The 14,055-nt window shown below is 45.0% G+C and overlaps 1 protein-coding gene across 2 annotated transcripts in view; it reads left to right on the top strand.

Moving 5' to 3' along the window:
* TNR (tenascin R) overlaps positions 1-14,055 on the top strand; it is a 428,402-nt gene that overhangs the window by 118,506 nt on the left and 295,841 nt on the right. The window lies entirely within an intron of this gene.

Genomic DNA, 14,055 nt, shown 5'->3' with positions numbered 1-14,055 from the left:
TAGAGTTCTTAAGCTGCAATGGATGCTAGCTCCTTGGTGCTGGAGCACCAGTACTTCTGGCCAAGCTTAGGATGAGGCCCTAGAGGTGCAATTGAGCTTCCTCATCTAGCAGCTCCCCAGAAAACCGGGCAAGTGGGAAATCTGAAGCAGGAGGTGCTCAGCTGAAGGCTGGTCTTCCCTTAGTACTGAAGAAGGGGGCCCCATCCTCTAGTGACCCCATGGTGAAATAGAATACGATTGTCTTTGGAACTCTATCTTCTCTGCACGTTGCTCCATCTGCCTCTTGGTGGCTGTCCATTCCCTACCCCAGGAGCCCACCATTCCCTTAGGCTGTCTGTATGAGTTTCCCAGGGCTACAGTAATGAAGTGCCATAAACTGAGCAGCTTAAAACGACAGAAATTATATTGTCTGACAGTTCTGGAGGCTAGAAGCGCAAAATCAAGGCATCAGCAGGGCCAAGATTTCTTTGAAACCTGTAGTGGGACTACCTCTTCACCTCGTCCCAGCTTCTGGTGGTTTGCAGACACTCCTTAGCATTTCTTGGCTTGCTTTTGAAACCTCTGCTTCCCTCAATCTCTGTCTCTGTTGTTACATGGAGTTCTTCTCCATGTATGTCTCTGTATCTGTCTCATCTCCTTTTTTTATAAAGATACCAGTCATAATGAATTATGGGCCCACTGTACTTCAGTGTGACCTAACTAGCTAATATATCTGCAAAGATCCTTTTTCCAAATAAGGTCACATTCTGAAGCTCCAGGAATAACATGAATTGGGGGATGGAGGGAAGGGACATGATCAACCCAGCACACACTCTCTATCATCTATTTCCAGGAAAGAATTGTATAATCTTATTCTCAATATAGTGAGGATGACAGATGAGCCTGGGTGTACCAAAAGATACATTAAGAGGTACCACCATGTAAGCTAGGAGAGGAGAAGCAATTGGTGGAGAGGGAAGATTTTCTATGAATGAATCTCTGAAGGTGGAATTCTATACACTGGGAAGGCCTGAGGACCAGATTAATCCAGGTGGGTGTGTGCCCACTCTTCCTAATCTTGTTGAGTGGCTCTCATCATCATGCTAGCATTTTTATATAGATGGAAATAAAACATCAGGGCATTCTTAGAAAAAATAAGAGTCAGAAAACCAGGGTAGCATAGAGGAAACAGCCCCTTGACTTGTGTCAGGAGACCTGGGCCCAAGCCTTGGCTTCACCTGTAACCAGTGTGGGCCCCGGAGCACTTCAGTGGCCTCAGGCTCCTCTGTAGTATGGGGGGATAGGACCAGAAGACTCCTATGTCAATTCTTCCCCTAGCATTTTATCATCATACATGTGGGTAAATTAGCTCACTCTAATCCTCTGCTGGTTTCCTCCCTGTCACCTCTTCTCTGCAAAGAGGAGTTGGCAAAGGACAGGGTGTGAGTGGCACGTGGATATCGGGCTACAGGGTGTTCCATGGAAAGGAAACAGTATATACAAATGCCTGGGGAAGAAAGCCTGGTTAGGTAGAGGTTAGTGTGGGTGTCCCACGGGGCTTGATGTGGAATGAAAAGCAATGTGGCCAGAAAAAGAAGGAGGGACCAGGTCACCTGCAGGCAATAGTCCTGTGAGCAAACATCACCTCCTGCACCTCCAACAAATTGGGATGCCCAGAGCAAGAGGGCTGATTCACAGCATTAGGAACAACTAGGAGGCTACATTTTGGGTAAGAAACTGTTTTCTGGGAGTCTTTTATTTATTATCCAAAGACTGTATCAGGTACTAGATATATATTATACTGTGTAGGTATATAGAGAAATGTGTAATAGTAATACCTAATATTTACCCAACATATATATGCACACACACAATAGTGGTGAATTTGGCAGATGATGTCTTTGTATACACAGAGTTTATGATCAACCAGGTCAATTTAGGTCAATTGATCCTTTAGAAAGGTAAGCCAATAGTACTTTCGGATCCCATGAGAGACAAGTTGAAGAGCACTGTTATAGGTTGAATTTGTCTTCCAAAAAATGTACGTTGAAATCTTAACCCTCAGTACCTCAAAATGTAACCTTATTTGGAAATAGGATCTTTGCAGATGTAATTAGGATGGGGTCATACTGGAGTAGGGTGGGTTCTTAATCCAATGTGGCTGGTGTCCTTATAAAACAGACATGGGGAAACAGAGGCACCAGGGACAACCCCATGTAAATATGAAGACAGATGGGCTTAAGAAGCTTTAAGTTAAGGCATGCCAGAGAGTGCCCATAAATCACCAGGAGCTAGGAAGAGGCAAGAAAATATTCTCCCTATAGGTTTCAGAGGCATCATAGCCCTGCTAATACCTTGATTTAGGACTTTTAGCTTCCATAACTATCAGATGACAAATTTCTGTTGTTTTAAGATACTCAGTTGTTGTACTTCGTTACAACCTTAAGAAACCAATACAGGCATCTAAAGCAGTCTAGAGAGTTCTGGGAAAGCTTCCCAGAGGAAGAGATGCCCATACTGGGGCCTTAAACATGCGTAGGAGTTGGCAAAGGACAGGGTGTGAGTGGCACGTGGATATCGGGCTAGAGGGTGTTCCATGGAAAGGAAACAGTATATACAAATGCCTGCGGAAGAAAGCCTGGTTAGATAGAGGTTAGTGTGGGCATCCCACGGGGCTTGATGTGGAATGAAAAGCAATGTGGCCAGAAAAAGAAGGAGGGACCAGGTCACCTGCTTCTGTTGAGGTAGTTCTCCAAAACTGGCATGAGTGCTATGGGTGCCTGGTGCCCCAGCTCTGCCATGTACCTGCAAACACCTGATTCCCTGCTGCAGAGGAGTATCAGTCAGGGATTCAATAGGAAATGAGGGCCTGTAAGGCTTTTTTGCCTACAGTGCTCCTTCCAGATTCAGAGTCTCCAAGACTCATTTATTTCCCAAATATTTATTTAGTGTTCAAAGTTCTACATTCAATATGTAAGATACAGAAATGTATAACAATAATACCTAACATTTACCCAACATATATTATGTACAAAGCACTCTGCTTAGTGCTTTACATGGATTATCTCACTCAATGCTCTTAACATCCTCACAGAGTGAATAACGTTATTATCCCTCTTTCAAAGAGACGGAACTAAACCTGCAGAGATAAAATAACTTGCAAAAGTGTTTCAGCCAGGAAGCTGTGGAGCTGAGATGTGAACCAGGGTAGGCTCAATCTAGGGCCATACCCTTAACCTTTGTGCGATACAAATCCTTGCCTCTATGGTGCTTATAATCAAGTAGGAAAGGTAGGACAGCCATAATTCAAAACATGTTGAATGTTGATAGTTTCTAAGTGCTTAGAGAAGGTATAAGATGGATGGGATATAAAGGCAGAGAGGAAGGAGGGAGGAGCAGGAAAGTTCCAAGTGAGGAAGTGAAATTTGAGCTGGACATTGAAGGGTAGGTAGCTAATAATATTGACAAGAGTTTATCAAGCAAGTGCTAGCTGTGAAACTGTGTCAATGCTTTATACAACAACCCTATGAGATAGGTACTACTATTAACCCATTTAATACATTAGGAAATTGGAGGCACAGGAAAGTGGAGTATAATTTAGATAGATACATCTGGCAGTGAGGATAATGGCCAGAGGAAGAAAGCGTCCTGAAATGTACCTCAGGGGTGAGTTTGGGGCAGTGAGTAGCTGAGTGTGGTGGGGGTGTCAGATCCATGAAGGGAAGCAAGGAGGGTCAGATGGGGCCAGGTCATGACAAGTGGGGAATTCAAGGTAAGGATTTGGACTTGATTCAGCAGGCAGTAAGGAGGCATTAGAAGATTTTGATCAGGAAGATTAGTCTGGCAGCAGAATTCAGGCTAGAGCGCAGATAGATGTAGACAGTGAGATGAGCAGGGGTCCTATTACAGTACATCATGCCCATCAGTTGGTCACAATACATGTTGAGTGCCTGCCATGTGCCAGAACAGAGCGGTCAGCTGGAAAGAAGAGGTCTCCACCCTCCTGCAGTTAACAGTCAAGGACGATGGCAATGCCGTCCTGAATCAAGGCAAGAGCGATAGCAAAGGGAAGAGGGGTGCGTGGTCATAGCATTTCGCATTTAGAATTAACAGGACATGGCAATGGAGGCATTCAGAGTGCTCTCAGCACTCTGGAAACTATGCCTGTGGGTCAGGGGCCAGCCCAACTGGCAGGTAAGTATGAGACTAAACAGAACAACCGAGCTTATAAAGCAAGTTGGAGTTTAGAAAAGCTTCTCTCTCTCTTTTTTTTTTCTACTCACACAAACTCATTTGAGATCGAGCTTCCATGAAAGAGCATCCCATACACCTGCTCACCCTGGTGAGGGGCTCTTCAGCTGTGACTGTTGCAGTGCTGGACACCAGAGGCCAGCCCAGTGCACAGCATGACTGGTGTGACTAAATTCAGGAGCGCATCCTAGGTCCTCAGTCTTTGAACCACCTACTCGCCACTGCTCTGCCCAATCATACAGGCTTGGCTAGCTCAGCCCCTCTGCTTCTTTTCTCTCTGCCTCCTGCTGCCAGCCTTTGGGCTGTGTTCTGCTTGTTAGCAGCTCTGCTGGAGGTGGGCGAAGGGATGGAAAGCCTCCAGAACTTGGACTAGTTTCTCTGGCTCATTGTTAACAGCTCAGATAAAAGCCAGGTTAAGGGAAAGGCGGTTGAGGTTACTGGGTCAAAATTTTCCTACCAATACTCCAGCCTGGTTGTTATGTTTCGTCTACCCAGTTCTCTCTGCCTATTCCAATTCTATCAGGCTTCCAAGCTCAGCTCACACCCAGCAGAAGCTCAATAACTGTGGGGTTGGTAATAAAACTGAGAGCAATCCGTCTAGCTGAAAGTGCACACTCATTGCTCTGAGCTCACTAAGCACTTTGTCTATCCTGCCTATTACTCTCTTAAAAACCAGGGAGAAAGAGTTCTGTGCCAGAATTTACCTCTGGGCCCCTGAAATCACTTCTTGGACTTCCTTGCCCAAGGAAGAGCCAGATGGAGATTTATTAACAGAGATGACTGCATCTATGTGAAATTACGCATTATAACAATTACACAGCACTTTACCTTCCATTTAATTCTCCCCTTCCATTTAATTGGTGAGGTAGGTTTTATTAATCCCATTTTATAGATGGGTAAGTTTCAGTGATTTACACAAGAGGCCATGCCACTAGGGTAAAAACAAGTTGGAGCAAATGCTTTCTTATTCTGAAGTCCTCCTTGTTTTCATTCCAACACACAACCTCTGTGTTTGCACTGTTTTAGTGGTGATTGGCTGTATGTATTATGCTTTTTTCCTCTGGGGAAAAGCAGGAAAATATTTGATTACTACCAATTTCCTGAGCATCATGACCTGGGTACTTTTCCTGGCTCTGCTCTGGCGAGTATTGGGTCTTGGGAACAAGTGTCACAACATCTCTGGAACTCTATTACCTCATCTATAAGACGGTGGGTTTGGATTGAATAATTTCCCAAGACTTGTGTTCTAATTCTGTACATCCATGGCTGGTATTGGTTTACTCTTTTTTCAGGTCCAAAGCGAGCTGTGGAGGATACTTGTTTTCTCCCCAGCCAGGTTGGCACTTGATAGACTAATGAGCCTGCTTAGCTTTGTTCTACTCAATACATCAGGTGGGTTATCTGTGTGACTTTTCTGGTCTCCTGAAACTGGAATCATTCTGCATTGAAATGGTTCCATAATGTACCTCCTGCTCTGGGCCATTGTCCTGGGAGGCCATCCTAGACTGACATTCTGCACGAAGTTTTATGTGTTGCAAGCTGGTAAAGGGCTCTATAAATACTAGATGTTCCTTTTGGTCCTTTGGACAGGAATGGACAATGCTCTCATGGTCCATTGCTCTCATGGTTGCCCAGCTTTCTAATGGAACTGTCTTTTTCCATTAGCAAGCTAGGCAACTTGAGATGGCCTAGGAGGGATGTGGAGGAGTAGACCGTGATAGAGGAGGAGACTGGAGAGAACAGGCACTCAGTCACTAATGGAGACCCTCCTAGCACCCCAGGGCAGCAAGGTCTCTTTTCATGGAGGCCATTTGCTCTTTAGTTGCAGAAGTTGCCCTGCCAGCCCTTCACCCACCTGGGCAATGAGGCCAGGGAGGCACAGCTGTGCCCTAATGAACAGCCAGATGGAAAACCAAATAGGCACATTAGGTTAGTGGCCAACCAAATCCTCAGTCTTCTCAAATGAATCACAACCTGTGTGCCAGGTGCTCCTGGGCAGAAGGCAAGGGCAGTGTTTGATCAATGGCATTGCCTAAAGTAGAAGCTCCAATAGTCCCAGCACCCAGGTTAACCCTCTTTCCAGTGTGTTCCTGGAGGTGACAAACAGGATGTGGGTTCCTCTGTAGATTATAAAGCTGGCGTATTCAGGCCAACCAGGTTGGGGGATTCCACTCCCTGCTGTAAGCAACGGCCCTATGGCTTTCTGTATGGTTCTCCTGAGCAAAGCAGTGCCCTACTCCTAGGGCTAAGGAGAGTGTCTACCAGCAGGGTGGGCAGAGGGAACAAATGGTTTCATCTTAGCCAGTTGGGGCAGAGACTCCCCATGTGAAAAAGAACTGCAGTTTAATAGCATGGAACAAAAGCAGCTAAGTGGCTGCCAATATGCATTCAGTTGAGTCCAGGAACTGTAGTAAAATTAAAGGGGAGAGGGGAAAAATAACCAGCCCTGCCAGGTTGATTTGTACTGTCTGCATTGATGCTACATTTGTATTCTAGGTTTCTCTGAATAGGAGGTGGGCTCTAATGATATCACTTTAAACCTCAGGGCCAGAGATATAATCACATGCCATTACTCCTTAATCACATGGTAACTACTATGCCATTACTTTCTAACTTCAGTCTAATTGCAACTTACTTCTGATTAGTGGGCAATAAACATTTACAAACAGGGTCCAGATCTATTTCCATACAATTTACTCAGCTTAAGAGAAGGAATGAAAATATATAAATTGGGTGAATGCAGGGAGCCTGCCCCAATACTGTAGTTATCATAAGGAATGTTGGTTGAGCTTGAATGACCCTCCCAATTAAGTAACAAAAGAGATTTTAGGGGAAAAGTAGGTACTTCTACCTAGGAGTGATGCAGGAAGTCAAGTTTGAAGTCCAGAGTCTTGAGTTCATGTTCTTGCTTTTATTTACTGGCCGCATGATCTTGGTCAAGAACTAAACCTTTCTGAGTATCAGTTTCCTGATCTAAAATGGGTAAAATGAAAACTACTTTGAAAAGATAAAGATTTTTTAAAAGATCGTATTTGTGTGAAACTTCTGTGAAATAAAAAAAGATGTTGTGTAGTTATTAACTATTACTATTATTCTCAGGGTGAGGAACATTCTTTGATACTGAAAGAAAGTGAAACTGTTATTATCAATATTCCAAAGGCTTCAGCCAGTACTTCTCAGACTTTAACGCACAAACAAATCACTGAGGATCTTAGATTTCGATTCAGCAGGTCTGGAATGGGACCTTAGGTTCTGCTTTCTTAGAAGTTCCCAGGTAATGCTGATGTGGCTGGTCTCACACCACACTATGAATAGAAGGCTTTAGGCCATCCCGATGCAAGAATCCTGCTGTGGAAGGTAATGGGACATAGGGCAGAGGGATCGCATTGTCACCAAATCGTCTCTACCCCGCTGACTGGAGCCAGTGCCGACCTTAGCTCCCAGACCTCCTGGTGCAGACAGTGGTAATTGAAATGCAAGCTGTGTCTGGGAAGGCTGGCACATAGAGGCACCCAGACACTCACGTCTGACTAAGGGTCAGGTCTTCAGTGCAAGGGACCAACACCTAAAAGGGTAAATCTCCATGGGGAGAGGACATAGGAAGATTCTGAGGAAGAGATATTTTTGTGTAATGATCAGTAAAGGTGTTCCGGTATCAGAAAACTCTCAGCGAATATGGCAGCAAGCACGGTCCTGGACAGGGACTCTAACCATGCCATTGAATCCTCACAATTGGCTTGTGGAAGGGGCTCAGCTACTCCTTAATAGAAGAAAGAGGAGAAAGAAGGGCTGATGGAAGGAAGAAGCAGAGTGGGAGGAATGAATTTATTTTGGGAGTGGTGGAAAGAGTAGACATTGTCAACTTCACATATTTGTTAATGGCTGGCACCAAAAATAATACCAGAATTATAGATGGCTGAAGCTGGAAGGCATCTTCGAAATTATCTTTTTCAACCTCTCATTTCACAGTCCAAGAAACTGAGACTTAGTGCCTGTCCTACAGCCACACAGGGAGTTGGTGGCAAAGCTGCATGCAGTCAGCCACACAGGAGGTTGGTAGCAAAAGTCACACAGGGAGTAGCTGGGAACACTAGAGCCCAGTTTTCCCAGTTCTCAACTCTGTCTTCTTTCCTATGCTCCTCATGCCAGATAAATGAAACTTGCTTCCTGAAATATCTACATGCCAACGCCCAGACAGTGGGAGCATGGCCAGCGGGGACCACCAAGGAGCACAGCCCTCCTTGCCTGTGCTGAGCCCCGTGATCCCCTCAGCTCTGAACACCACCTGTTTGATTTCCAGAGAAGAGATTTTGTTTCCTCTGCCCCCATCCTGCAACAGGGAGAAACCAGGCTACACCAGACCCCCAAGCCTTCAAATTTCTGCTTCAGAGAGGTGGCCACTTTCACATGTCTGGATCCCAGAGCACACCTAGCATCACCCGCCAGCTGCCAGGAGGTTGTGGGTGCCTGCAGAGGGCTAAGGATCAGTGTCACTTTCTCAAGGAGACATGTGACATCTCCTGAGGGCTGTAATGCCTGCATGCCAAGGCAGGTGGGGGACATCCCAGACACTGAGGGCTATAGAGGGGAGGCTTTGGTCATGAACACAGGGCCATGAGCAGGGTGAAGGGCAAAGAGATCAGATAAAATGCATCCCCCAGAGAATACTTCTGAACAGAACCCCTGGAATCTAGAAATGCCCTTTAGGGTCGCATGGGGAAACGTAGCTGACCTGGAAGCCTATTTGGCCCCTGGCACATCTCCTGGTAGATGGTTTGTCCCACGCAGAAAGAACAGAGCCTATGCACATGCCATTCTCTCAGTTATTTTTAAAAATTACCTTAATGTAGCTATTTTAGGTATGTACTTTAGGTAAACACATTTAATATCTACCTACATTACAGTATTGCTTTTGAAACTCCTAGCATTGAGCATGGAACGTCATTAAATATCTTTTGAGCACAGGCTTCAGTGAGATTCTTAACTACTATGCAAAGTAAAACCTAAATATATGTGGATGTGGGATGTTTTAGAAGCCTAACTGAAAGGTGCAAGCTATGTTTGTGATGCAGACTGTAAATAAGTGTGTTTAGAGCTCCAGTTTGGTTTCTTGTCTCCATTCAGTACCACTGCACAATTGGAAGGCTCCGCTTAATCTCCATGCTCCTCTCTACACTCTAATTCCTGAAGCAGGAGGACGCTGAAGTCCTGAGGGGTCAGGAGACCGGCCAAAGTGAGTCAGGAACAGGATTAGAGCTCACACTCATCTGAGTTTACACCGTAAGGAGACACATAGGCTCTGTGACCTCGAAGCCTCAGGGCGGGGCCTTGATGTGGCCCTCAGACCCCTACTCCTCCAGGCATTGGATCCCTGCCTGTGTAAGGGGCAGGACGTGGAGTCCTCAACATCACCGAAGCATCTCCAGGCCTGCAGACTAAGCCTGATCCCTCCTCTCCCAATACATGTTTAAAATCCAGTTTCTGAAAAAGGAGGAGTTACTGTTTAATCACCTGCCCAGACTGAAGTCCAGGCTTGGTGCTCAACATCCCTTTATGGAAAAGCTCATAGAGCAAACTTTAAGGAGAAAAGAAGGTCCAAGAATCCTCCCTCCCCTTCAGCTGGGAGACACACACCAGTTAAAAATAGAATTTGGTTGTACTCTCTTCAGGCTCTGACCACACCAGCCACATCCAAAGATGAAAGGTTTATAATTCTTTCAGCAGCCCTCTTAGCCTTTATTGTCCACCCTCGATTTATCTCCACTAATGTAACTGAGCCATTTCCCTTCCTTCCTTCCTTCCTCCCTCAGGAAGAAAGCTATTTCACCAGCCCCACTCAGGTGGGGGGATCCCCATGAGTCCAGATGGCTGCATAGCAGCCCTCCAGGCTGTGGGCTAGAGGAAGGGAGTTCCACGGCTTTTTCTTCCTCAGTATTTTTGCTCATTGCTTCATTGTCACCTTTATGACACCCAAATGCCCTGCCATTGAACAGCCGGTCACCCACTGTGTGGAAGAACCTGAGTGCTGAGACGTCTCTGTGTGTGCTCATACAGGTCAGGATGAGACCACAGTTACCCCAAGGAGCCCCTGGTTACAAAATTCCCCTTCCAAGAAGCTGTAAATACCAAGGAGGAGTGTTTGGAGAGGAACACGGCAGGGGAGCCCTGGGGGACACTAAGGTCACCAAGGGAACTGCCCAGCTTCTTGCCTGAAGTGCATATCCATAGTGTATGCTACAAAGAGTCAGGCTTCCTTTTAACAATTTGAGATGATGATGATATGTTCCCAGAAAGGAGGGATGAAATAATCAAGGAAAACAGTCATAAAAAGATGCCTAGAAAGTGGAAAAAGTCAGACATTCTGCCAAGAAGGTGGTAAGAGGTGAGACAGAGCAGGGACTTCTCTTAAGTGTCTGCTAGGCATACCTCCCAAGCCAGGTGGGCAGATTCCAGTTTGGTTCAATAACAGAGAGGACACAGGTGGGAGAGGAAAGGAAAGAAAACCCTCTCCCTCCTGACCTAGGGTGCCTGGCTCACTTAAAGCCCATGTGTCAATATCAGCTCAGCCTTGCTTCCCTCTTCACCTTGCTCCACACCATACATAGGTATCATAATCTTTTCCCCACACCTCTCTCTCTCTTCCTACCATATTCCAATTTGACAACAATAGAATTTTGATGGCATGCACTCAGTTCTTTAATAAGAAAAATTAAATATTAACACATAAGCAAGATGTAATAGCTAAAACTTGTTGAACATCTACTATGTACATCATCTCTAATAATAACAGTAACCATGCAAGGTAAATACTATTGCCCTTAATTTATAGATAAAGAAACGGAGGCTTAGAAAAGTTAAGTAACTTGCCTAGGACCACATAGCTAGTAAATGGCTGGGCTAGGATTTGACCGGGTTCATATTTCTCCAGAGCACATCCTTTCTCAGGATACCATAAAATCTCTCTGATTGAGGGGATGGGATTTAAATTGTGACACTCCTTGAGCACAGACGGCATCATGTTCATCTTATAGGAGGCATTTAATAAAGATTTGATGTAGACTGGATATGCAGGAGGCCAAATTCTGATGCAGGCTCCCTTGGCTTTGCTGACAGTGTTTTCCTGAAGAAGGGAGAGGGCAGTAACTTGATAGGACAAGAGAATTCTGGTGTCCACTGGCCAAAGTGGAGGCCAGAAGACCATCTGTTCAGTAGATGGTAATAATGACACACCCACAGCACCAAGGGAAGGAACAGGGCAGAGCAACAGGTCCTCTGGAATCAGAGGGCAGGAGGAGAAGCCAGGCTACAGAGGGCAGGCTCCAATCATGCCAGTGAGATTAGCTGCAGGCGAGAAGAACCAGGCAGGGAATGCTGATAAACTGGCTCTGGGGTGGGATGGGGTGGGGTTGATGGAGGGGGATATGGGTGCTAACTTGTAGGATTTGCCAGTTCCCAAGGTGTAAATGCTCCCAACATGGCCAATTTAAAGCTACCAATGTGATGTTGACTGGCTCACAAAATACCCCAGATTTGGACAAGGAGCCTTTACCATTAGAACAAGGATGCACTGTGGGAAGGATTTGGGCCCTGGCTAGCAAAATAGGACCTAGCTACAGAGACTCAGAAGCCTAGAGAGAATCACAGGAATTTAGAGAGATTATGTCTTTGCCCTGTAGCACCCTTCTAGAAAGATAGCTCTGCTTACAGAATACCCAGAGGAGACCCTGCAAAGTCTCTCCTGGCAACCTTTCACTGCTTTCTAACTCTCCTAAACATACAGCTTTAGGGATCTGGACCAAAAACCACTAGTCACAAGGTAATGATTCATCCATTCATTTATCAAACATTTTTTAAGGTCTTTCAAGGTACCAGGTGCTGTGTTGAAACCATAGACCTTCATTGCCTCTTAACTGTAGATACCTTGAGGGAAAGGGGGGCTGTGTTCCTACACCAGCACCTAGCACAATGCCAGACACATGAAAAACATTTGAATATTTGTTGAGTAAATGATTGGAATCAAGTTCACTAATGGAAAAAGAATATTAAAGAAAGTCAACATATCTTCAGAAAACTTGGAGGAGTTTACATTCCCACAGTATGATTTTCTTCTCTTTCCCAGCCTTTTTCTCATCTCATAAGTGGTTTGGGATTTTAAAGACATCACAGAAAGATTAAGGATACGTTTGTCAAGGTTAGAAGGTCCTTATTTCATTTGTAAAACTGCTGCATTATTTTATATGTGAAGAAAAGTGGGGGGTTTTGGGTAATAGAAATAAAAATCTATCAAGTTCTCAGGGGGAAGAAAAATCCTAGTATTTAGCACTGCCTGTGGGCCCAGCCTTTCAATAACAGAGTGGAGGCCTGACCCATTGACTGATGCCTGTCCCTGCAGGGCATTTCTGAAATAGAAGGTCATTGCCCACAACCTGAATTTCCTCTGCAACAAGAGGAATTCCTATAAAGTTCACCAGATATGCAAAGACAAGGGGCTGCCTTTGCAAGAAAGAGACTCAGATATCCCCAGCAAAACCACATGGGTCATTGAGAGCTTTGAGGGCTACCGTTGCTGGAACACCTTTTAGCCCCAGGCAGTGTAGGAGAAACCTAGGGGTGGGATAGGGCCCACTCACATCTCTGTAACCTCTGAGATTAACAGAGGAGGTGCTCTGAGTGACTGTGGAAAGGCAAGGGCAAGGGAATCCAGGCCAGTGCTCCCCCAAAAACCCAACCTGTGGGCTGCTTCTCCAAAATCAAGACAGGGTTTATCATACTGCATCCTAGAAAGGACTCTGTGGCAGGTACCTAAAAGATTAAAATCCTTATATTCCAGTCTGTGAACTCTAAGCCACATGTCATCTAACCAGCCTGGAAGGAGATTGAGTATTTGATTAAAAAAAGGAAACATTTTCAACTGTTACTTGTCGGTTCTTTGTTTTTCCACCCATTGATTTACATTCGGTCTACAGCACTTTATTTTTCTTTTATATCTCCATTACAGGATTAATCATGTTGTGCTATATTACTTTATAGGTCTGTTTCCTTTGCTCTTTGTGAGCTTCTTGATGGTAGAGACTATGCGTCTGTGAGTTTCCAGTGCCTAGAATAACCCTGGATATATAGTCAGTGTTCCATAGGCACTTGTTTAGCTAGTGAACACATTAATTAATTTCTCAGTGGGTCAACATGAGGGAAAAGAAAGAGATGGAGATCAAGAGAGAGCAGAAATGGCCAGGCATAGAGGCTCATGCCTGTAATCCCAGCACTTTGAGAAGCCAAGGAGGGTGGATTGCTTGAGGCCAGGAGTTGCAGAACAGCCTGAGCAACATAGCAAGACCCCATCTCTTTAAAAATTTTAAAAACTTAGCCAGGCATGGTGGCGAGTGCCTGTAGTCCCAGCTACTTGGGAGGCTGAGACAGGAGGGTTGATTAAGTCCAGTAGTTTGAGACTGCAGTGAGCCATGATTATACCACTGCACTCCAGGCTGGGCAACAGAGCAAGACCCCATGTCTTTAAAAAAAAGAGTAGAAACGAAGGAAATGGAGACCAGGATAGGTGCCTAGAAAAATAAAAAAATAAACATTTGTAGAGAAGGGACCTGGGTGGACATCATTTCCCTGATGTGATAAAATAAAGAGCGATTCCCAGATGAACACAAGCCTCCAGTGATCAAAAGCTTTATGGCTTTCTTCCCAAATGAAGGAACGGGTTAAATTAGCCTGCAATTTTTTAAGGTTTTTGAAGAATATATATCAGTGAAGAACCAAGCAAAGGGCAAGGGGGAGGAAAGAATTTTTCACAGAAACATCAAGAGGTAACTTTTAAAG

Source organism: Homo sapiens, chromosome 1 (genome assembly GCF_000001405.40).
Source record: "Homo sapiens chromosome 1, GRCh38.p14 Primary Assembly".
Classification (NCBI taxonomy): Eukaryota; Metazoa; Chordata; class Mammalia; order Primates; family Hominidae; genus Homo; species Homo sapiens.
This window is presented reverse-complemented; position numbering and strand designations above follow the sequence as displayed.